The sequence below is a fragment of the Homo sapiens genome, chromosome 3, assembly GCF_000001405.40.
Source record: "Homo sapiens chromosome 3, GRCh38.p14 Primary Assembly".
In the NCBI taxonomy this organism is placed as follows: domain Eukaryota; kingdom Metazoa; phylum Chordata; class Mammalia; order Primates; family Hominidae; genus Homo; species Homo sapiens.
Window position 1 is genome coordinate 16,505,455 of NC_000003.12, and position 22,034 is coordinate 16,527,488.

Consider the following 22,034-nt stretch of genomic DNA (forward strand, 5'->3'; position numbering starts at 1 on the left):
CCAGATAGAGAGAGACAAATAGAGGTATTTATTATAAGGAATTAGCTCATGAAATTGGGGGGCTGACAAGTTTAAAATCTTCAGGGCAGGCCAGAAGGCTGGAAACCCAGAGAATAGTTGATGTTGCAATCTTGAATCCAAAGGCGGTCTGGAGTCAGAGTTCCTTCTTGTGGATCTCAGTATTTTTTCTTAAGGCTTTCAACTGAATGGATGAGGTCCACCCACATGATGGAGGGTGATCTGCTTTACTCCAAGTCTTCTGATTTCAAAGTTCATCATGCCTAAAAAATAACTCACAGCAATACCCAGACTGGTGTTTGGCCAAAAACTAGGCACCGTAGCCTAGGAAAAAATGACATAAAATTAACCATCACACTCCTTCAAGGCTGAGCTCTAACAGGATTGCCACTCTAGGCCATTGATTCATCCAATAAATAAGTAATGAGCACTTACTATGTGCAAGGCCCTGTTCTAAATGCCAGTGATACCAAAGTAAAACAAAAGAGATTCACACAATAAAAGAGCACGCCTGCCCTCATGGACCTTACCTTCAGAAGCCGAGAAACAGGCAATAGACAAACAAATAAAAATAATACACAAAATCCCATTTTTAAAGTATGCCAACTAGAAAACAACAATGCAGGGGGGAGGGATAGCAATCACAGGAGGAGGTATAGTGTTTTAAATACGGGGATTGGGAAAGGCCACACCCAGAAGGTGACGTTTAAGCAAAATCATGAGGAAGGCCACAGAGCGAGCCATGGGATAAGGGGGAGGGTGGGCTAGGCAAGGCAGTGGCAGGTGCAAACAAGCTGGGGTGTGGGGCCCCTGGGAGGCTGAGCAGACCTCAGGGTGAAGTCAAACAGGGCTGGGGAGACAGAGCGTAGGCCTGGCCGGGCCGTGAGCACTTCAGCTTTACCCTGACTGAGTTGGAAGCCTCTGGAAGGTTTCGAGCTGAAAGAAGACATCAATTACTCTGGCCATGACTGACCATGACAGCAGGGAACCCAGATGACAGTAAGTAGAGGTGTGAGCAGTGGTCAAATTCTGTATATGTTTTGAAGGCAGAAAACAGGATTGACTGATGATTTGGAAAAAGGGGATGAGCAAAAGAGGGCATCCAAGACACCTCTAGGGTTGGTCACCAGCACCTGCAAGGCTGGAGTGGCCATCTTCTGAGATGGGTAGAAGAAGCCAGGAGTTAGCCATGTTAACTCCACCCAAGCAGAGGTATGCAGTAGGCCGCTGGATGTACCATTTCGAGTTCAGAGGAGAGCTCCACAGCTCTTGGTAATGCCTCATCTCCCTACATGACAGTAAATTTCTGGAAGGCAGCAAGCGGGTCTTCTTCATCCCCAACAGCAGCTATTCCAATGCCCTGCCCATAACAGATGCACAATAAATACCTACTTAGCAGCATCTTTCGGGAATAGGAAAGACACTTATCTGGTACAGGATGGTAAAGGGCATTTGGAATATTCCATCTGTGGCTCTCAAATTCACTTTCTTAACAGTACAGCACAGGGGTTGGTCATACAGGCTCTGGAACCAGACTGACTAGGTTCAAATCCTGCTGCCCTTATTTCCTACCTGTGTGACCTCAAGGAAGCCATTTAACCTCAGTTTTCTCATCTGTAAAATGGGGACAACTGCAATATCTACTTCTAGGGTGAGGACTAAATAAGGTAGGGTGAGTTACTATTTAACAGGGCTCAGAAGAGCTCAGACACATAGAAAGAGCAGTATAAATATTAACCGTTTTAGTACTCTACTGGGATTACTTGTTGCTCATTATGAAGACACCTTTTGACCTACTCTGGCCTATAGTCATGATTATGCCACACTGAAAAGGGCACTTATAAGGTATCATAAGACACCAGAAAATCCCAAAAGACCTCTCTAAATTAAAGAAGTGTTTAAATAAACAACCTGATTTCTTGTGCTTTATATTTCCAAAATTTGCTAATACATGATATGATCAGGTTCCATTAACCAGAGTCTATGATTAACCAAATCTCTTACCCAACTTTCTGAGTAAAATCTATTACAACAGTTCCCCCAAATCTGAGGAACTTTAGCGCTATTCCATAAAACTTGAAGGATTCCTCAGGACAAAGGGTAAAAGGCAAAGTAGGGAGTTTCAAAACACACACACACACACACACACATACACACACACATGCACACATCCACAAACACGCACATACATACACACACAATGCACATAAACACACACATACACACACATACATACACATACACACATACACACAAACACATACACACATACATGCACACTCACATACACACAAACACACACATACACTCACATACACACAAACACACACAAACGCACATACATACATACATACACACACACACACATACACACATATATATACACACACACATGCACACATATGAAAGCTGATAGGCCCCCGTAAAGAATAAATTGTAACCCTCAAGGAGGTCTGCCTATGGAACAACACGACGGGACATTTCAGGTGTAAACGCCAGAGAAAGTTGTCAGTGAGGTGCATCTGGCTTCCTGGTTGAAGAAGTGTGGAAACCTCCAATACGGGATCTTAAAGTAGCATAAGAGTTTGTCGGCATCAAACAACTGAGCCAAGCATAGCTTATGTTGATTTCCCACTTCTGGCTGGACTTGCTGCTTGCAGACACCTGAGGAGTGGCTTCCTCTCTCCTGTGAGGCTGGTTCTGAAGTACTGTACACCCCAGCAGAGGTGACAGCCACAGTACCAGCCCTCCACTGTCCCATGTAACTGGGACATCAAAGCTGCCAGCCTTCTCCATCAATCCCTGCACCCCGGAGGCAGGTCAAATCCAGGAAAACTCTAAACGAAGCTTTCAAGTACCCCAAATGGTGTCTCCTCCATCTCAGTCCTGGCAGGGAGCCATCACTGCAGAATGTCACCTGATTTTCCAGCTCTTTGGTTCTGGCCCACTGAGAGTGATTTTTCCTCCTGAATTCAGCCCAGGTAGGGAGTAAGTCACACAATTGCATATTTAAAAGCTGAACTGAATTCTTATTTGGAGAGCAAGGAATTAGCCGGGTTCAAGCAGTGGCTATCGCTTGCCTGCTGTACCAATTTTTTATGAGAAAGTGTCTTGATAAAACATGCAATGCTAATAATGAAAGCCCCTTTGGGGCCCAGGAGAAAAGGGAGATTCAAACGTATGTCAAAAACTGAATGTGAATGGAAGGAAAGATCACACGCACGCACACACACACACACACACACACACACCCCTTTAAAAGGTAAACACAAAAGCAACATCTGGCTAAATGTATCCCTTTGTCAGTGAAAAATAGCAGAAGCCCTAGCCAAGTGTGTTACCAATTCTTAAACTGAAGGGTAAAAAAAAAACACCACAGAGCAGCACTGTCAAACAGAACTTTCAGCAATGATGAAACTACTATCTGTGCTATCCAATTCAGTAGCCACTAACCACACGTGGCTCTGGGCCACTTGAAATGCGGTGAGTGAGACGGAAGGACTGAATTTTAAATTTTCTTTTCTTTTAATTCATTACATTTAAATGTAAATAGCCACATGTAACTAGTGGCTACTGTATTGAACAGTTCAGCTGGCAACGTCTTTCTGTTCCTTCAATAAAATTGTAATCCTAATCAACCAATAATATTTTAAATTATCATCAAAATTAGTATAAGCCCCTGGCTGTGCCAAACTCAGTAAGCTTAAGACAAAATGAAAACAAACAAACAACAACAAAAAAAAACTAAAGAAAATGATTGCAGTGTATCATTTCCTGTAACGCTGTTCTGATTATCTAATTTACATTTCTATTATAATATGGCTTTGTGTATTTGGAAATCCGTGATTGTAGACAGATTTTGCCTTCAAAAAACCAGAATGTCACAGTCTCTTCCCTTAAGGTCTTAGAAAAATGAAAACGTGAACTTAGGGAAAGTTAACCTTGCAAGCTTCAATTTCCTCAGGGCTGAAGTGAAGATAATATAAGTACTCGCCTCTCATGAGGATTAAATTCAGATAATGCGTGCAAAATGTACAACAGTGCCTGGCAAAGGGTAAGCACTCAGCAAGTGGCAGCTATAATTATTTGTATTTTATTAACAATATTAAAATCAGTAATAAAGAGAACAGTGTTAATACAATGAAAGTTTACACTGAACAAAATTTTCCTAGGCCCAAACCCTTTGAATGTGTTTTCCAAGCCATGGTAAAGTGCCCTCGAGTAAAATACATCCTGGGGCCCTGACATCTTGACACCCACTGTCAACCTCCAGAGAGGCGATCACCCAGATGGGTATCACGAGTCACGAAATCACTCAGCCAATGTTTACTGTGTCCCTACCCTCTGGCAGGCACTGCGCTAGGCTTTTAAGGAGGAGGGAACAGTCCCCAAACACAGTGCAATGTCTCAAGACTGAGCTGTCTGCCATCTGACTCCTGCAAAGCTTGGTCAGCCCTGGGACACCTTGATGGGATGCAAAACATGCATCCTGGGGTCCCACTCAGACAGAAAAGTTCACTTCCCGTTTCCTAGATCAGCCAAGGCAAGCTTTGGCTGTTGGCACCACAGAGAGGGACTAAGTTATTAGGGGACCCGAGGGGCACAGGCCCATTTTCCCAGTCAGGACAATAAGAGGGGTGTTGACAGGCCATGTTTCTCACTGAGAGGCCAGATCACTTTCACAAGAGAGTCATTCTCTGAGTCTTAACAAAGCCAAATCTGACCTGCCCCTCAAAATAAACACAACCCCTTTCAGTAGCCGGCTGACCAAGCCGGTGAAATCCAAGGGGACTCTCCACCAAGTTAATATCAACCCTACCAATAGACCAGAAATCCCCCGGGAGTTTCTAGGCAGAAGCTTAGTAAAATTCTGTGGGGCTTGGGGTTATTTTTCTTTTTATAGAAAGCACTCAATCAATCTTCTTTCACAACCAAGGGTACATTCCCCTATGGAATTCCCTTCTCTGAAAATCTCTAAAAATAAAATATTCATCTGATCGTCTGCAATGATTTAAGTTTAAACCCATTTTCAGGCAGAGTCAGGGACTTCCTATGGCCCCTCCACCTATAAAAACATGTTCCCCACTGCCTCAGATTCCCTCTGGCCCCAGAAGAACACTAGTCAAACCATGCTCTTGACTTTAGGATAGGAAAGACAGGGCTGTAGTATCTGGAATCTCATACTTGTATTCTTTGCTGGTGAGACTGTAAAATGGTATAACCATGTTGGGAAAAGGTCTGGCAGTTTCTTTTCAGGTTTCCATATATCTCCTTTTTGACCCAGCAATTTACTACTAGGTGTTTACCCATGAGAAATGAGAACACATGTCCCTACAGAGACTTGTACACAAATGTTCACGGCAGCTTTGTTCACAATAACCAAAGAAAGAAAGAAAGAAACTAGAAGAAAGAAACTAAAATAATCCATGTATCCATTAACAGAATATACAAACAAACTGTGGAGTAAGACATACTCCGGAACATAAGTCAGCAATAAAAAAAGACCAAATCATGGATACGACATGGATGAATCTCAAAAATATGGTGAGCTTTACACAATATTGCAGAATTCCATTTACATGAAGTTCAAGAACAAGCCAAACTCACCTATGATGAGATACAGGGCAGTGGTTGCCACTGAGAGGGTGAGGGCAGAGAATGACTGAGAATGAGGATGAAGGCACCTGCTGGGGTGACAGTAATATTCTCTGTCTTGATAAGGACTAGGGTTACACAGGTGCATGCATCTGTCAAAACATTATGCAAATGGTACTTTCCATCTTTGCACATTTCACTATATGTATATAAATTTTATCTTAAGGAAACCATAAGCACATATTGAAGTCAAAATAATAAAATGTGTACTAAAATGTTTAGGAATGACCTGTACCAACATCTGTAATTTACTTTAAAGTGCATAAAACCATCAGCTGGACTTATGGATGGACACAGGGATGGCTGGATGGTTGGGGGAGGTGTGTAGTTAAGCAAAGATGGCAAAATGTGAATTAGACTCTAGGTGTGTATATTTAGGGGGTCACTGTTCTTGCAACTTTTCTATATCTTAAAAAATGGGATGGGGATAGAGTCACAGTGTCCTCTCCTTAGTCCACCAAGTTAGAAATTTGGCAAAGCACCATGCCCCACCAAGCCATGGGACCACATAGTTTCAATTCTGCTGAAAAGAGAAGACTGGAAGAACATAAGTAGCTTTACAGGAACTCACATCACTCATGCCAAAGATTTTCTGCTTGTTTCCCTACAGACAAAGCAATTATTTGAATGTAAGCCAAAAATTCCTGCTCAAGAGGGAGAAAAAGAACTCACTGACTTGTATTCCCAATTTATTATCTTTCAATTCCTGTACCAAATCTACTAGCTAACTGCACAACACTCCACTTCCATTTGCCCCATGTCCATACAGCCAAAAAGCAAACAAAGAAAAACCAACCCAGTGACTTGATATACAAATGCAGCCAGAGGATGACGTGCCAGCTCTGGGGCTTTGAATCACTCAGGCGGGCCAGAAACCCCACTGAAGGCAAAAGAGGATGCAGAGCTCAGTCTGAGGTTAGAGTGATTTCACTGAGGTTAGCACACACGCACCAAAGAGTCCCAAACAGCTTGCTTCGTAACCCCTCTCTGGGGTTTGGTGACATCTGGGGTCACTTGAACTTCGTTGGGATTCAGCTGTTCAGAGATACAAATTAGGAATCCCGGCAGCAGAGAGGCCCTACCCACAGGCCCAGAGGTCGCTCACATTACACCCGGCTTCCTTCCTGGCAAGGCCTTAACTTATCCTGAGATGACACACGATGGCAGGGGTTGGAAGATGCCTAGTCTAGTTGAGCGCCCAGCTCCTGAAACAGCTGTACCGACTACAAGGGTTCCAGCACATGAGTTGCTGGAAACTGGGGTGACCACTGACAGAGATTGAGCCAGACTTTTTTTTTAAAAAAGTACTTCTTGTTTGTTTGTTTTAAGCCCCCGAAGAAACTCACTGACACCACCCAGCGTCCCTAGGGATCACCCATAACCACACAGGGCAGCTGAGGGCAAGCACAGAGTCACAGACAGACAGCAGGGAGCGTGCCTGGTTCTACAACCTTGGCCTCCACGCGGTTCTTGCTGCCAAAGGCAGCGACACCGGAGGTGAAGGGCACCAGCCCTGGCCTAGGACTGGGGTGCGCGTGCCTGACAACGGGGCTTCCCGAAATACACAACCACCTCCTCCTCGCCCAGACCCATATCCATCCTGGCGTCCCTTGAGTCTAGAGAAGTGGGTTAAGACAAGGGAAGAAAATCCCTTACAGAAGAGGAGATCCCCGTTTTCAGTGCTGGGGACTCTCGGCACCCGCGTCCCTGTGCTTCTGGTGGTTCCGGCGCTTCCTCGGAGCGCGCGGCATGTCTGCTCCTACACGTCCAGCACCTCTGTCCCCAGAGCAAACCCACCTCCCAGGGCACACGCAGAGGGGCAGTCAGGCACCGCCTCCACCCTGCCCCACCCAGGCCGCGCGCACCCCGGAAACCTGGACTCCGCGACCAGCTCCCTCCTGTTCTTTTCCGAGGACCCCAGCGGCAGTGTGTCCTGGACCCACCTGTAGCCTCCAAGCTCCCCCACCTCTGCGTCCTTCCTAGGCGCTTCTGAGCCTGCAGAGCCTACGACCCCCAACAGGCTGCTCCGAAGTGCCTCTCCCTACATCGCTCCAGGAATGACTCCCCTACACCCGTTCCCCGCAAAAAAAAGTTGGCCCAAGATCCAGGCGTCCCAAGGATCAGCCCAGGTCCCCATCCGACGCGGGCCAGGGGGTGCTGCTCTGGCAGCTCCGGAGCCCCGGCAAAGAGCAACCTGCAGGGAGGCGCCACGCGCGGTTCCCACTACCCGCCAGAGACCCGGTCCATGGGGCCAAACGGAGGGGCCTGTGCCGGTCGACACCCCAAGCCCTGTCGCGCCCCCCCCGCCGCCTACCGTATGGGACCGGCGGAGGAGAAGGCGCGGTCGCGGGCTCCCTGAGGCAGCGTGTTCCGTCCCGGGAGGAAAGTTTGTGCCATACAGAGGAGGCGGCGCGGGGAGGACTTGGGCGCCGGTGGGTGGAGGCGTGGGCGGTGGCGCCGCGTGGTCGTGTGTCTGTCCCTCCGGCGATCGGTGCGTCTGTCCCTCGCCGGAGCCCGCGGCCGCCGCGCTCTCGCTCGCTGCGCCCAGCGCCCGGCGCGCTCCGGCTCCAGCCCCGACGCGCCCCCGCCGCCGCCGCCGCGCGTCCGCCGGCTACACTTCCTCTTCCTCTGAACTCATGTGCAAAATATGCTACGCTGCATCTTCAGGGAAAGCCTCGCGGCCCCTGACAGCAGCCGCTGGAGCGGTGGGCCCGCCCAGCTCTCCCCGCGCCCCCTCGGAGTTCCGCCCGGTCACCTCCACGCGGCCGAGCTGCAAGCGACCCTGGCAGCCTCAGAACCCAGGGGTCAGGGGCTCATCGATCCTCCCTCCCAGCCCCTCCTAATCAAGGTTGTGTGCTGTCAGGAAGAGCGCCTGGGAGACAAGGATCCTTCAAGATTTGAGCCAGGATGCTGAAAGGGCGACTGCCATCAAGGTGCTGATGGCTGGGGGTGGGGTTGGGGCCGACTTGAGAGAGGACCATTTCTCGACCCCATTCCACAGGTGGGAGCATCCCTAAACATCTCAGGTGCTGCTGAAATTCTCTCTTGCGAGTTAGTGCTTCAGGGAAGGGTAATGCCACTGTCTCCGTTGCCATCCCTTGGTCTACCTACTTAAGATGTCCAGAGGTTTGAGAAGATCTGGAGAATCACCTTGCGTGGCAACTTGAGGCACCCAGGGAGAAAATTATATAAAGAGTGAAGCACTAGTAAACCAGGCTGCATTAGTAAAGTGAAGATGTGAGGCAAGGAGCCATTAGAAAATATTTTCTTCGTAAAACTAAACCAAGCAGAATTACAGTGTAGGGGTTAAGAGGGGGAACTTTAAAGTCAAATAATCAGGGTTGGATTCCTGGCTTTAGTACTTACTGGCTGTGTGACTTTGGGTAAGTGACTTAACTGCTCTGCGCCTATTTGTCACATGGCACTTCTTCGTGGGTTATTATATGTAAAGTGTTTAGCAACCACTCTATAACTTAGCTATTATCATTATTTTAAGGGGGCTAGAACAAGAAGGGTGAGATAATTTAATTAATTATCTCCATTTTCTAATTGGGCAAAGAAGACCCTGTGTGGGCAAAGTTAAGCACTGGAGCACACAGGGTGGAGGGCTGGTTTAGGGGCCCAGCAGTGTTTCGATGAGGTCCTTCTGGCACTAATAACACTCCTCCAGCAAGTAAGGAAGCACTATTTTGTTTTCAGGGACTCTTCCTGTTACCACAGCTTCTCAGAGATTTTCTTCCTTATTTTCTCTTTCCATAGCCTTTCTAGTTCTGTTTTGCTCCCCCTCCCTCACCACTGTTTTGTTTTTATTTGTTTTTCTCCTTTCCCTTTCCACCCCACCTTTTCCTGGTGTCACACTCACCACCACTATCCCCAGTGTCCCCCATTTCCCCCCTACACTTGAGCTTGCCACATGAAAGAAAATAAGACCAGGTGACCACGTAAGTCCAGGTTCAGACAGTAGTGCGCAGGGACATTTGCTCAGGGGCATCACCAGAGGTTGTGAACACCCATTTATGAAGCCAAAGGGAGGGGTCTTCATGCTATCTATCTGCCCGAGGCCTTGAATTGCTGCAAGTCAGGGTCCATCCAAAATCTTTCTGATCCTTTGCTGGTCACTAGGCCACAGAAAGAAAATAAAATTGATAGGTGTTAACCGGTAGGCATTTAAAAGAAGATAAAGGAAAAAGGAGGGTGGGGGTGGGGGAATGCAGCATAACCTAGTTGCAGTGTGCTTGATTTCTTTTAAGCAAATCATTTTCACTCTATAAAACTTTTGCACACCGTTGTGTTTTTTGTGCTTTTTTTTTTTAAGACACCAGTGCTTGAGGTTAATATGCTATTCTGATTGCTTCCATTTTCTTCCACTCAATATTTTCCCGAGTGCTAATAATCATGGGCAAATGTCTTAAATGACTTTTTTCCCTGCTTGGATCTGCATTTTTGAGGGTTTTCTAGAACTCCTGATCTTCTTGATATTCTGATGCTTCCTACTGGCACATAGTAGGTGTTCAGTAAATATGTGTGGAATGAGTGGATGAGCCAATAGCATGCAGATCTTTCAAGGCTCTTCTTAACCTGCATTCAGCAATTATCCAGGGTGTTCCAATTCTCTTTCACCTGGAATATTTAATGAGGAGCCAAATGTTGGATTCACTTGTGTTCTGTAGAGAGCTGCCTGGATTTTCCACTTGACTGCTATGGACTGGCCAGCCATGGGAGAGACCCTGGGCAGCTGGGTCTCACTTCTAACTGACCTTGCCTACCCAGCCCCAACCCCAAAGATGCTGGGACTGTATCCTAGTGGGTTACCTTGGCAACCTCACAATGTCATCTGTTAGAATGTCCTAGGGCGGCAGCTTTTAATTCTATCACAGCGGTCTCATCGGGGGTCATGTAATAGTGCTGTTTTTTCTCTGCTCACACTTCCTCCCCCTGTGATTTAACACTAAGTACTCGGGGAGGAGCTGAACACGGGAAAAACCAAGCTATTACTGCATGACAGGTCACAGATGGCCCCAGAACTGGGGTCCCGAGTGTTCACAGTCAATAAGACGCAGGTCCCAAGCTAATGGGGAAGCTGGATCTCCTCACACCCCCTGTGGAAAGAAGAGGAGTTAAGCCAGCCTAGGCAAGTGTAAGAAGCTGCTGTGGCCAGACTGCACGATTCTTGTAAAAGCTCAGTTAAAGGAACCCCCCGCTGGAATAATTCTTTCTTGGCCTCAGCAGCACCACCCCACTCTGGAGATGATTAAGGCCATGGGTACCAGCAGCCGGAGCAATTTCGCTGCATCCTAACTATGCTGAGGCTTGGAGGGAAGGAGAATCCCAGCTAACCTATTCTGCTCACCTTCTTCCCACCAGACCCCATCCCCACAATTTCACTTCACTTAGGTCCACCCTGCTCCTAACTTAGCCCAAAATAATTCAATTCCCCCTCTCTGCAGAGAGTAATCACAGTTCATAGCAGAAATGGATCAAACAAAAGCTTTGGAACCTGAAGAGCTATTGTCCTAATTGTTTATGTACAGGACCACGAAACCCAGACCTTACACTCGCCAGCTGAACAGCAGAGTTTCAGGGCTGGTGGGAGACAGAACTAGACTTATCTATGCCCTGGAGGTGCAATAATTATTCATCTTTATCATCACAGTTAATATTTTAATGGGTTTGCAGCCACAGTGAGCTCACAGTTTGGCCAGCTGCTCTGTACTAAACAGTTATAGGAAGCTGGCCCTGCATCCGGTGACAATCGTGCCTGTAAGGAGCCACGGTGGCAGGGGCCTGAGCTCTGTGCCCCAAGCCAGTGGTTTTGGAGGAGGCCCCTGCCCTTTGTTCATGGTGACAGGCACAGCCTGCACAGGCACGCCCCTAGGAAGACCATGGCACCCTTGGCCACGTTAAAGCAGAGTACACTTGTGCCAAAACATGCTTTTGACTCCCCAGTACAGTGGAGATGTGAATTAGGGTGGGGGCAGGGAGCTGGTTAGGGCATTTTTTGCATATGCATTGATCAGCCAAGGCTAGGGACTTTTGTCCAAAGTATAGTCAAAACAATACTTTGAAAATGCCACCCACAGACATCACCAATTTGAGGAAATGTTGGATGATAGCCAAATGTTCCATTCACTCCCATACAAAAAAAAAAAAAAAAAAAAAAAAAAACCACCACCCACATTTATTGTTATTCTGCTCCTGAATCCACTCATTTTACCTCTGAATTCCCAGTCTGAGTCAAGCAGTTCAGGGGAGCAGGGGCCCTCCTGTGGCTGAGATGGAATTTGTTCTCTGGAGCAAAGAGCCACTGGAGACTGAATTTCAGGAATACTGCGTGCAACACATTGCTATTTGTAGCTTTGTTTCCCTCACTCAGCCTGAGGAATTGTCTGAATTTACCAAAAGCCATCCACATCCACACCCCTTCACTGGTTATTCCATTCATGGGACACATTTGTTGACTTGCATTTGAGAACTTTATTACCAGAGATAAGGGGGAAATGTGTGTGTGTGTGTGGGGGGGGGGGGGGGTGTGTGTATAAGGAGCCTATACATTCTACAGATGTCAAAATAAGGAGATCATAAAAATAAATCATCATTAAATGAATGGCAGGATAACATTTTGATATATTAATTAATCTGATTTCCCTTCCACCATCATTCCCCCGCCCCCACTGTATTTCTTGCTACACTGTACAACTTGTATTTCTTGTTCCTGTACAACTCTCTTCCCATCAATTTGGACAGCCGGAAGTGTTGTCAAAAGGAGAGTTATCATAACTCCACCAGAAAAAAAGTCAAATTCTTGGCTTTTGAGTTTTGGAAGTCAATGTCCAGGCATAAAACGAAAATACATGGAAAAATAGGAAATCAGGCAGAACCAGTGTCCCGCAGCATATCTCCTTTCCTTTTGCTACCCACCCACCATCCTGTACACACATACCTTCAAAAAATCAATAAAAGCTTCACAACTGGAGAAAAGCAAGGAAGGAAAGGCACAGGGAATATGTTGATGGCAGCAACTGGTAGGACACAGTGACTGACCAGAGTCAGAATTCAGAAACCCACCACCTCCACTCAAGTGAAAATCATCCATCCATAGTATCTGAGAACCCTGTGGACAGCTGTTCAGCTCTTGGGATTTGTGCAGGAGGAGCATTATAGACCTTCAGTAGAGGAAGGAAACAGGCTGTTCATCCTTCCCATTGACGCTGGACAATGAACTCCCATCAACAGCAGCCAGAGCACAACCCGTGGATCATCCAGAGAGGCTAACTCCTATTCCATGAGTTCAACCCTCATTTAATAGCCTAGAGTGCTGGTAAGCTCTTGAGATGGACAGCAGGGCCCTGGACCCTGAGAAGATCCAAGGGTATGAAAAGATGCTCCCACCTACTTCCCATCACACCTGTACGTAGAAGAACCCGAAGGGACCAGTTCAGTATCCCCCTTACAAGGTAGCACTGTGGTGATCATCAATGCTGTTCCTCGAATATTCCTAGTCCTCCCCTTCTGGCCCCACAGTAATGGCTGTTCCTGGCTCCTATAGTTGGGAGGGGCTGTAATTAGCTTTGGCTAATGAATTGTGAGCAGAAGCAAAATGTATCACTTCCTTAACAATTAATCAACTGTTAGGACAAGACCATTCAGGGCTTTCTCTTCCTTCTAGCAAGGCCACTGGCAACCTTCCATATGATGGCTGCTCATCTGTCTAGATCCCTGAGTGATTGTGAGAAGCTGAGCCCCCATCTGACCTATACTCTTTACATAACATAAACAAGAAATGACTTGTTTTTAAGCCATTGAAATTACAAGTTGTCTGTTTCTGCAGCATAACCCAGCCTATACTGACTGATACACCTTACTAGAATCCATTGAATGTTCTTAAAGGCATTATGAGCATACCTAGGAGCTGGAAGGCCAAAGGAAAAGATCCAATTAGAGAAACATTTCCCACATTAACCTGGAATCATAATAATTCCCAAGGTTTCCAGTTAGAGAAGCCCATGATCAAAAAACTATAAAGAGCTGTTATTTACTCATTCATTTAAGGAGTATTTATTTAGGATCTATTCTGTGCGCTCACTGTGTGCTAGGAATAGGGGATACAGCAGGGAATAAACAGACACTGTTCCCGACCTCAAAAAGCTTTCAGACTAGTAACACTTGGCAGTTATTTACTGCATGAAAATGAAACTATAGCCTAGGGGAATTGAGAGACTTGCCCGAGGTGATACCTTTAATAAATGGTAAAGTGGGACTTCACTTGAACTTTATGAGTCTAAATTTTGTGCTTTCTTCACTCTTCTAAGCCACCTAAAAATAAGAGAATCAGTATAACTTTGAGTTTGCTCCAAGGAGTAGGTGGAATTTAACTCCAGGCTACCTTATGTCTCCTTCCTTAATGTTTGCTGATACCTGAAACCTCTTTAATAAGCCAAACTTTTCATTCCATAATTAGTACCTAAAACAGGGACTGACAAATAGCAGGCACTGTCTAAATGTTTGCTGAATGAATAAAACATGCATAAATAAATAAATGAATAAGTGGGCTTACATAATTGTAACTGTTGATTGAAATATCAGATGCACTCTATCTCACTCATGCTAAACCAGAAGCCAGCAATCACTCAAGATAGGTGTTATGCTTGATCTCGAGGAATATTTTTATTGAAATATTAATTGATGGTCTTTACAATCCCAACATTTCCTATTATTTTCTGTTATCTCTCTCCTTTTCTTCAATCTGAGAACTGGCTAAACTATATGGCATCCATATCTCAGGGCATGGTTGTTTCAGCAGAAAAGTCTTTAAGGACTCAAATCCTTGGATGTTTGAGTTGCAAATGTCCAAGGGACTCAGAATTTAGAAGAAAAAATCTTAAAGTGCCAGAAAAATATTTCCCAACCTCTTGGAGAGCATAACATATCCCCAGACTGCAGGGAGGGAGAAAGGAGCGTGAAGGGAAGCAGGAGGGGGTGGACGCCGTAAACCCCTAAGGAAAGATGAGCCAATATCCTGCCCCTACCATTTATTCAAAAGGAAGGGCAGCAAATGCCACTCTGGCATAGCAGAGTAAAGTATATTGAACCAACTGTCCTACAGATGAACTCGGGACAAAATCTAAAACCCAACTCTGAAGGCAGTGGTGGACAACTACAAATAGGCAGGTACTAGGAGGGAGGCAACACTTGGAAACATCAAGGGGTGGATTTTGCATTTTTTTTTTTTACAGCTGCTTTCATCTAAGGGCAGACCTCAGAGAGTGCCCCATAGGGAAGTCAACACTTGGGCAGAAACCCACAGTCTTCCCAACAGAGGAATCAAGAGACAGAGGTCCTAGTGACCACAGCAACTGAACAGATGGGCCTGAGGGAGTCTCCGGTTCCCTGGCCCCTGACACACTGTGGAAGAGATAGAATCAATCCTGGGCACAGGGTGGGCGGGGGTGGGGGGTGGGGTGGGGAGGCACAGAAGTGACAAAGGGCTGCAAACAGTCCCACAAAGATTTCTGTAGTCAGTGAAGGCGCTAAAGCAGCACAATGCTCTCATGTCCTGCGAGGAGCAAGGGAGTCAGCTGAGAGACAGAGCCTTGTGACAGACCCCAGGGATAGCGCAGCAGAGAGCAGTATCAGACAACAGGCAGCCTGAGGATGCAAAGATGTCCTGTGGATGCTGTCCTGAATGTTGATGACACAGACCAGGCACACTCAATCCTGCTCACGCCTTGGCATGATGTGAGCCCTGCAGAACTCATGCATAACTCCAGGGGAGCTGAGACCCATTCTGAAATGGACTGGGAATAAGCCTCTACTGCCTCTTTCAGCCTCTGAAATGTTACAGAAACATAAGGCATGTTTTCTTCCTAGGACATCTGAATCTCTACTGTGAGATAAATGTGTGTGTTTGAGATGAGGGACAAGATTAGACAATGAAGGTTGACACTTATGATTAGCAGACAAGCAGAAGGACCTCTTCCCACCCCCGCCATGCTGTATAGATGGAAACTACTTAGAGTTATTTCCCCCTTAACTGTTAGCACGTAGTTCAGGTTCTAAGGTGTGAGAACAGCTTCTCAAGATATCTGCTTCCCACCACTACTCCCCCATCCACCCCAACTACCCACCAAATATAACTTTCTATAAAGGGACTTCCTTCTAAGAGGTGGTGTTAACTGAGATGTAACTGCAGTGCCTTATATGGTAGCCATTTATTCCTCTATTTCCCCAACCACATGAGGGTTCTGATTTAGTCACTTCCCCATTTCCCAGAATGAGAAATATCAATATGAAACAACATGATGAGTGAACAAATGAACAAAGAACTGAATGAATGGATGAAGAAGTTAATACCATTCATACCAGGAGCTGATGTGTATATATTGAAATAACAATGTTTCTAGTAAAGCCTGCTCTTTCCCTCCTCCAGACTCATTCTGTTCTCCCCACCCCTTTCTGAGTTGCATTTAGAGGGTTTAAATGTCAGTGGCTGCAAGCCCACTTTCCTCCCTCCCATTGTCAGTGGTCTTTCTCTCAGCTGAAATGGGAGTTTTGGAATAGAGCTCTCTGTCAATCACCACTGAGCCCTTTTCCCTCAGCCCTGGAGTTTCCAGGCTCAAGTACCAAGAGTCGGGCTGGCAGCCTTGGCAGTCAGGGGAAAGAGCACGAGAGACTTTTTAACAGGCCTAAAATCCCGGTTTTGGCAGGCAGCCTTGGCTGAGAAACAGCTGGATGGCAATAGGCCAGGCTCAAACATCTGCCTTCTTCTCCAGGAATTAGTATCAAGCATCTTTGCTAATGCTATTATTAAGGAATTATCAATATTTTACAAGTGTTATCACTCCTTGAAAAGATGGCTAATTAAATCATGCAGGACAAGACCTTCATGGTCAAGATATAATAAGGCAAGTCCTTCTTTTCATCTCTCCTTTTCTCTCAAGGTTATTACACTGACTCTTAAGGAAGGAACCCTGATTTTAAAAGCCACCTCTCCCCTGTATTCTCTCTAACCCCAGTTTGAGGCTCTAAGCAAAAGCCTATTAGTAAATATCAATTTAAACAATTAAGAGTGTGCCAGTCAGGGTTCTTATTGCATACCAGAGAGATGGGCTTCGGTCACCTTAACCTGTAAAGAAAATTATAAAAAGGCTTTTGGGAAGCTCACAGAATTGATGGGAAGGCTGAGAAAACAGATTTAAGCAGTGTGGACATTCTCCCATCAAAAGGTAGAGTCTAATTCTCTTCTCCTTCATCTGGGCAGTTTGTGACACACTTGTAACCAGTAGAATGTAGCATAAGTAAAGCTGTGTGACTTCTGTGGCTAGTAGGTAACGTACTTTTCACCTAGATGGCTAGAATTCACTGAGGAGATATTAAGCTACCATGTAAGTAGTCTAAATGCTTAGAACTCACCATGTTTTGAGGAAGCCCAAACTAGACCACACAGAGACCATGTGGAGAGGACTCAAGACTATATGAAGAGAGAGAGAAAACTGCCCAGCCAGCTCTTGGCTGATCCAGCCCCTCACTGACTTAAACTGCATGAAAGACCTAGCCCAGAGCCACCCAGCCAAGCCTTGCCCAAATCCTGACCCACAAAAATTATGAGAAATAACAAAATGATTGGTGTTGCTTCAAGCCAGTATGTTTTACGGTCACTGGTTATGCAGTGTGTTAGTCTCTTCTTGTATTGCTATAAAAGAAGTACCTGAGGCTGGGTACTTTATAAAGAGAAGAGGTTTATTTTGGCTCATGGTTCTGAAGGCTGTACAGGAAGCATGGCACTGGCATCTGCTTCTGGTGAGGGCCTCAGGAAGTTTTCAATCATGGCAGAAGGTGAAGGGGCAGCAGGGCTGTCACACAGTGAGAGTGGGAGTGAGACAGAGGAAGTGCCAGCCTCCTTTAAACAACCAGGTCTCATGTGACCTCACAGAGTGAGAACTCACTCATCATCATGAGGAGAGCACCAAGCCATTCATGAGAGATCAGCCCCTGTGACCCAAACACCTACTACTAGGCCCACCTGCAACACTGGAGGTCACATTTCAACATGAGATTTGGAGAAAACAAAACATCCAAGCCATATCATGCAGCAATAGGCAAGCAGAAAAGAACAGTCAGAAACAAAGGAATGTAAGAACAGGATCAAAAACAGTTTCTTCACACAGAACCTTCTCATGAGCTTGATTCCCTCCACCCTGCCCAGACTTCACACTGCTCAGTCACTGGTTCTACAGAAATATAAGAAAAAACAGTGAATTTTCAGAGTGGCATACAGATTGTTTTCTTAAGTGTAAAGTTAGTAATCTAAAGCAAAAACCTCCAGAAATCTCCCCGCCCCTCTTTCCTGCCATTCCTATTTGTCCCCACTATAAAACAAAACTCAGTCAAAGATATCAGGTGCTGTTTTTTTGGGTAGGCACCTATTTTGTGACTATATCTTTTTTTTTTTTAAAGGGGGCCATAGTTTTTTGATGCTCATTTTTCGTTTTAAAAATATTGGTTGAAATATGTAAGAAAATGACTCTAAGCCTTATAAGACACAAACACACACACATACAAACATGCATTCACTTTATGGGATGTATATTAAGACTCATCAACCCTCAGATCGTTTGGAGAGAGAGAGTCCTGTGGCCCACAAAGGGACAATAACAAAAGTATTCCTGCTACTTGTTGAGAACCACTAGCTTACCTCAGCTTTGAGTTCCTATTTTTGGTTCTCATTACGACACTTAGAAGAAACCTTCATTAGCATTTTTACTTAAACAAAACCAAGGCACAATTAGCAGCTGCTTCAGGATTTTCAAACCCTGACATCTGGGAATTTCCCAGAAAGTGTTATGAATATTACAAGTAAAATCTGTTCAGGAGGGAAAAATACAGGCTCTGACTCATTTGCCTGACCACACAGCAAGTGGAGTGCCACATATTCCTGGCAGATAAGCGCTCCTGGGTATAGGTGGAATGACAATGATAACCCACAAGTGTCCATGTTGTCCCATTTCCTGATGGTGGAAAACTGGAAAGCCACAGCTTTTCCACATGTGTTCATCAACAGGACTATCAACAGCTGTTGCCAAGACTTGGCTTTCTGAGCTGCCAAATAGGACCAGGGAAAATCAGGTCAAACACATATATTTCATAAAGGCTGAGGATTGGTGTCTCATGTCGTGTTCCAGATTTTTATCACTGAACAGTGAATCATGCCTAAATGTATTGACTTAAAACAATAACCATTTAAGAAGTTTCTGGGTTTCTGTGCATCAGGGATTCAGGAAGGGCTCAGCTGGGTGGTTTTGGCTCAAGGTCTCTCATGTGGCTATAGTCAGATGGCTGGAGCGGGACCCTGAAGCTGGAGCAGCTGGCTGGGCATCATCTTCTCTCTCTCTTCTCTCTTCTCTCTCCTCTGTCCTCTCTCCTCTCCTCTCTGCCCTCTCCCCTCTCTCCCATCCCCTCTCCCCTCTCTCTCTTTCTCTCCCCAGGTAGTCTCTACATGGACTAATTTGAGCACTCACTCACACAGAAGCCGAAGGCTCCATAGCAGATATTTCTATGAACAAGGCAGAAGCTCCACTGCCTATTATGACGTAGCTTCGGAGTCACAGAGCATCACATTCATCATACTCTGTTGGTCAAACAGTCACAAACCCACCCAGATTCTAGGAAAGGGAATATAGACACCTCTGCCCTAATAAGAGGACTCACCCTGTAAGAGGGGCATGTGGAATGGGAGGTATTATGGCTGCCATCTTTAGAAATTACAATTTGCCACAGGTTGTGTTCCCTAGAAGCAGAGGTTGAAATAGGGGTTCTTTTGTGAGTTAAGGAAGAGGGAGAAGCTAAGCGAGGATGTAGCTTCAGGTGAAGTCCAGCTTCAACCTGATCTTGTAGGCAGCACTGGATCTCACATTGTCTGCAGCATTTGTCCTTCCTTGAGGCAAAAAAGTGGGGCTTTTGTACACACATATCAGTCAACCCTTAGCTTAGGGAAGCCCCAGGGGAAGGGTTGTAACTCCTAGGTATCTCGTAGACAGGCAACTCCTCTTGCTTAAAGGCATTTCCCAGACAAGGCTTGCTCTGTGAGCCTTTAATAGCAGTTAATAAAAAGATTGCCAGAGATCTGATTGGGACTGCAACAGCCTCAGCTACATTAAGATATGGGGGCACATTCAAGGCCTGTTTTATAGAGACTAGCAGGTAAGGACCTGAGTTTCAAGGTGAGTCCAGGGAATTAGTCCTTAGGATGGGAGATGGTGAAGGATTGAGCAGAAGGTGTGTGCATCTAAGGTATCTAATCCAAACAGGATCTGGGGACCCAGTCAGAAGACACTTGGGGTTTAGGGCAGGAAGTCTACTGATTGCCACGAGCAAAAAAGGAAATACATTGGTTCATGAAATGAGAAAGTCAATGGACAGTGCTGACCCAGATTGGATCCAGGGCTCAAAGAGCATCTCCAAGGTCTAGCACTTTCTCTTTCTCTCTCTAACCGCTCTTCTTCTATCAGTTCTTTTTGTGGACTTTATTCTTAGGAGGTATGTCCCTTTTTGGTGGAAAGATGACTGCCAATAATGCCAGGCTTATATTCTCTCCTTCGCATACCCATGAGAAAAGGGCTTTCCTTTCCTAATCAAGCTTACAAAAGTTCCGTCATTGAGTGTCATAGGCCTGATTAGCCTGACCTGATCGAATGGCCATCTCTGAACCAATCACTGTGGCTAAGGTGATGTGATGCTCTGATGGGCCAGGCCTGGTTCACATGCCCACCGTTGGAGCTAAGGAGGGAGTTAATTTCACTGGAAACCCAAGGATTAAGGTGGACACCAACTGTAGCTGGCCTTTCTGTTTTGTCAATCAGCTCACTCCAAAAGTGGAAAGGAGAAGCAATGTCACAGGAAAATCGGAAAGTGATTACCAGAAGTGGGATAAGACCAGACAGGAAAAATACCCCAAACAAAGGAAAGTAAAGACCATGTAAGGAATTCAGTCACTGGTGAACTAGAACAGCAGGTTAAAATGATCATGGTAGGCACAGTGACTCCATTCAGAGCTCAACATCCCTGAACCTACGTTGCATCAGATTCCTCTACCCAGGGACAATCTTGATTCCAGAATTGAGAGCAAGAGTCATGCAGTTGAAGACTCAATCACCCAGGAGAGGCAGGTGGCTCCGGCTTTGGGGCTGGAGGATTTGAAAGCAGGCTAAAAAGTCATCACAATTTTGTTCTCCACTAGGCCAGAGGGCTTTAGTGACCACAGAAGTTTTAAAAACTCTACGTATAGATTTTGTTTGATATAATCTTAAATAAAGATTAGAGGTTTGAAAAATAAAATCTATGAAAAGAGTCAAAGAAATTGGTGCTAATTAACCAGGAAAAACAAACTGAAACACATGCATAGACACACACACAACAGAGATGGAAAAGTATTTTAATTAAGTCATCTTCCCTATTAAAAAAAAAAAAGATGGTAACTAGCCATTCCTGAGCTCTACTGAGGAAGAAATAAAAAGCAAATGGGCTTAATTGAAACATTGCGGAATTAAACATGAGAAGGAATTCTTTGTTCAACATTGGCCTAAATTTTAAGCTCTATTTAATTGTAAGCTTCCTCTGGGTAAAAGAATTGTGTCTTCTTCATCTTCCCCAAAGTTTGAAATGATGGATAACTGAAAACTCTGATAATAACACACAGAGAGACAGAGAACTGTATCAGCTTCTATAACTTTTGAGATTTTATTTCTGAGTACAAATGAATCTGATTTATCCATTGTATCATTTAGGAATATTTTGGCTGCCAGTACAAGATAGCCTGATCTTAATGGTTTAAACAAATAGAGAAGTTTTTTTTACATAACAAAAGTCTGAAGACAACAGCTGTTGGCCCTGGTTTGCATCTCATGATGCTATGGGCCTTTCCCTCATGGTTGCAAGATGGCTGCAAGATGGCTGCTGCAACACCAAGTATCACAATGATCTTCCATTGCAGAGAAGAAGGAGGAGGGAAGAGACAACATGCATATCATGGAAGGATATGCTTGCCCAAAAACCACAGAGTAAACAAGCACTTACGTTTCATTTGTCAGAATTATGTAGCTTCGTCACTTCCAGCTGAAAGATAGCTGTGTGAAAAGGGTTGTGTTATTTTTTGCAAATACACACCTGTGAACAAGGTGTGGACATGTAAATATTTGCCCTAGTCAGTGGTCTCATTTCTGGAATTTAGGCAGACTACTTGTTTCTCTCAATCTCTGCTTTCCTAGTTAATTTTTACCATTTACAATTGGCTCTATATTTGGTTTGGGGAGTGTTTTTCCCAAGCTTAATCATGAGATTCTGGGACATTATTGATACTAACAGATAGA

At 45.3% G+C, this 22,034-nt stretch overlaps 1 protein-coding gene across 8 annotated transcripts in view, besides 11 other annotated features; it reads right to left on the reverse strand.

Moving 5' to 3' along the window:
* The window catches only part of RFTN1 (raftlin, lipid raft linker 1), a 197,855-nt gene extending 189,610 nt beyond the window's left edge, over nt 1-8,245 (reverse strand). For 4 of the 8 annotated variants that reach the window (XM_017006007.3, NM_015150.2, XM_047447783.1 and 1 more), the window contains exon 1: nt 7,988-8,245. The gene's annotated coding sequence lies outside the window, so the exon portion shown is untranslated. Of the gene's footprint in view, nt 1-7,329; nt 7,463-7,616 lie in introns of those variants that run through there. The other 4 variants (XM_011533530.2, XM_047447780.1, XM_005264986.3 and 1 more) reach the window with 2 other exon arrangements.
* Nucleotides 2,788-2,867: an enhancer, noted in NCBI's record as "active region_19548". NCBI's record gives its function as "activates an Ori minimal core promoter by ATAC-STARR-seq in GM12878 lymphoblastoid cells {active_cell/tissue: GM12878}" and the evidence as "EXISTENCE:reporter gene assay evidence [ECO:0000049][PMID:35858748]".
* Nucleotides 4,797-4,956: an enhancer, noted in NCBI's record as "active region_19549". NCBI's record gives its function as "activates an Ori minimal core promoter by ATAC-STARR-seq in GM12878 lymphoblastoid cells {active_cell/tissue: GM12878}" and the evidence as "EXISTENCE:reporter gene assay evidence [ECO:0000049][PMID:35858748]".
* Nucleotides 6,685-7,094: an enhancer, noted in NCBI's record as "active region_19550". NCBI's record gives its function as "activates an Ori minimal core promoter by ATAC-STARR-seq in GM12878 lymphoblastoid cells {active_cell/tissue: GM12878}" and the evidence as "EXISTENCE:reporter gene assay evidence [ECO:0000049][PMID:35858748]".
* Nucleotides 7,645-7,724: an enhancer, noted in NCBI's record as "active region_19551". NCBI's record gives its function as "activates an Ori minimal core promoter by ATAC-STARR-seq in GM12878 lymphoblastoid cells {active_cell/tissue: GM12878}" and the evidence as "EXISTENCE:reporter gene assay evidence [ECO:0000049][PMID:35858748]".
* Nucleotides 8,015-8,374: a silencer, noted in NCBI's record as "silent region_14117". NCBI's record gives its function as "represses an Ori minimal core promoter by ATAC-STARR-seq in GM12878 lymphoblastoid cells {active_cell/tissue: GM12878}" and the evidence as "EXISTENCE:reporter gene assay evidence [ECO:0000049][PMID:35858748]".
* Nucleotides 8,405-8,474: a silencer, noted in NCBI's record as "silent region_14118". NCBI's record gives its function as "represses an Ori minimal core promoter by ATAC-STARR-seq in GM12878 lymphoblastoid cells {active_cell/tissue: GM12878}" and the evidence as "EXISTENCE:reporter gene assay evidence [ECO:0000049][PMID:35858748]".
* Nucleotides 9,628-9,803: a silencer, noted in NCBI's record as "fragment chr3:16556589-16556764 (GRCh37/hg19 assembly coordinates)". NCBI's record gives its function as "represses an EF-1alpha promoter that drives an FKBP-Casp9 reporter gene in an ReSE screen in K562 erythroleukemia cells {active_cell/tissue: K562}" and the evidence as "EXISTENCE:reporter gene assay evidence [ECO:0000049][PMID:32094911]".
* Nucleotides 10,411-10,460: a silencer, noted in NCBI's record as "silent region_14119". NCBI's record gives its function as "represses an Ori minimal core promoter by ATAC-STARR-seq in GM12878 lymphoblastoid cells {active_cell/tissue: GM12878}" and the evidence as "EXISTENCE:reporter gene assay evidence [ECO:0000049][PMID:35858748]".
* Nucleotides 11,031-11,531: an enhancer, noted in NCBI's record as "H3K4me1 hESC enhancer chr3:16557992-16558492 (GRCh37/hg19 assembly coordinates)". NCBI's record gives its function as "activates a minimal SCP1, AML or CMV promoter by ChIP-STARR-seq in naive H9 embryonic stem cells {active_cell/tissue: H9 hESC(naive)}" and the evidence as "EXISTENCE:reporter gene assay evidence [ECO:0000049][PMID:30033119]".
* Nucleotides 11,532-12,032: an enhancer, noted in NCBI's record as "H3K4me1 hESC enhancer chr3:16558493-16558993 (GRCh37/hg19 assembly coordinates)". NCBI's record gives its function as "activates a minimal SCP1, AML or CMV promoter by ChIP-STARR-seq in naive H9 embryonic stem cells {active_cell/tissue: H9 hESC(naive)}" and the evidence as "EXISTENCE:reporter gene assay evidence [ECO:0000049][PMID:30033119]".
* Nucleotides 14,862-14,911: an enhancer, noted in NCBI's record as "active region_19552". NCBI's record gives its function as "activates an Ori minimal core promoter by ATAC-STARR-seq in GM12878 lymphoblastoid cells {active_cell/tissue: GM12878}" and the evidence as "EXISTENCE:reporter gene assay evidence [ECO:0000049][PMID:35858748]".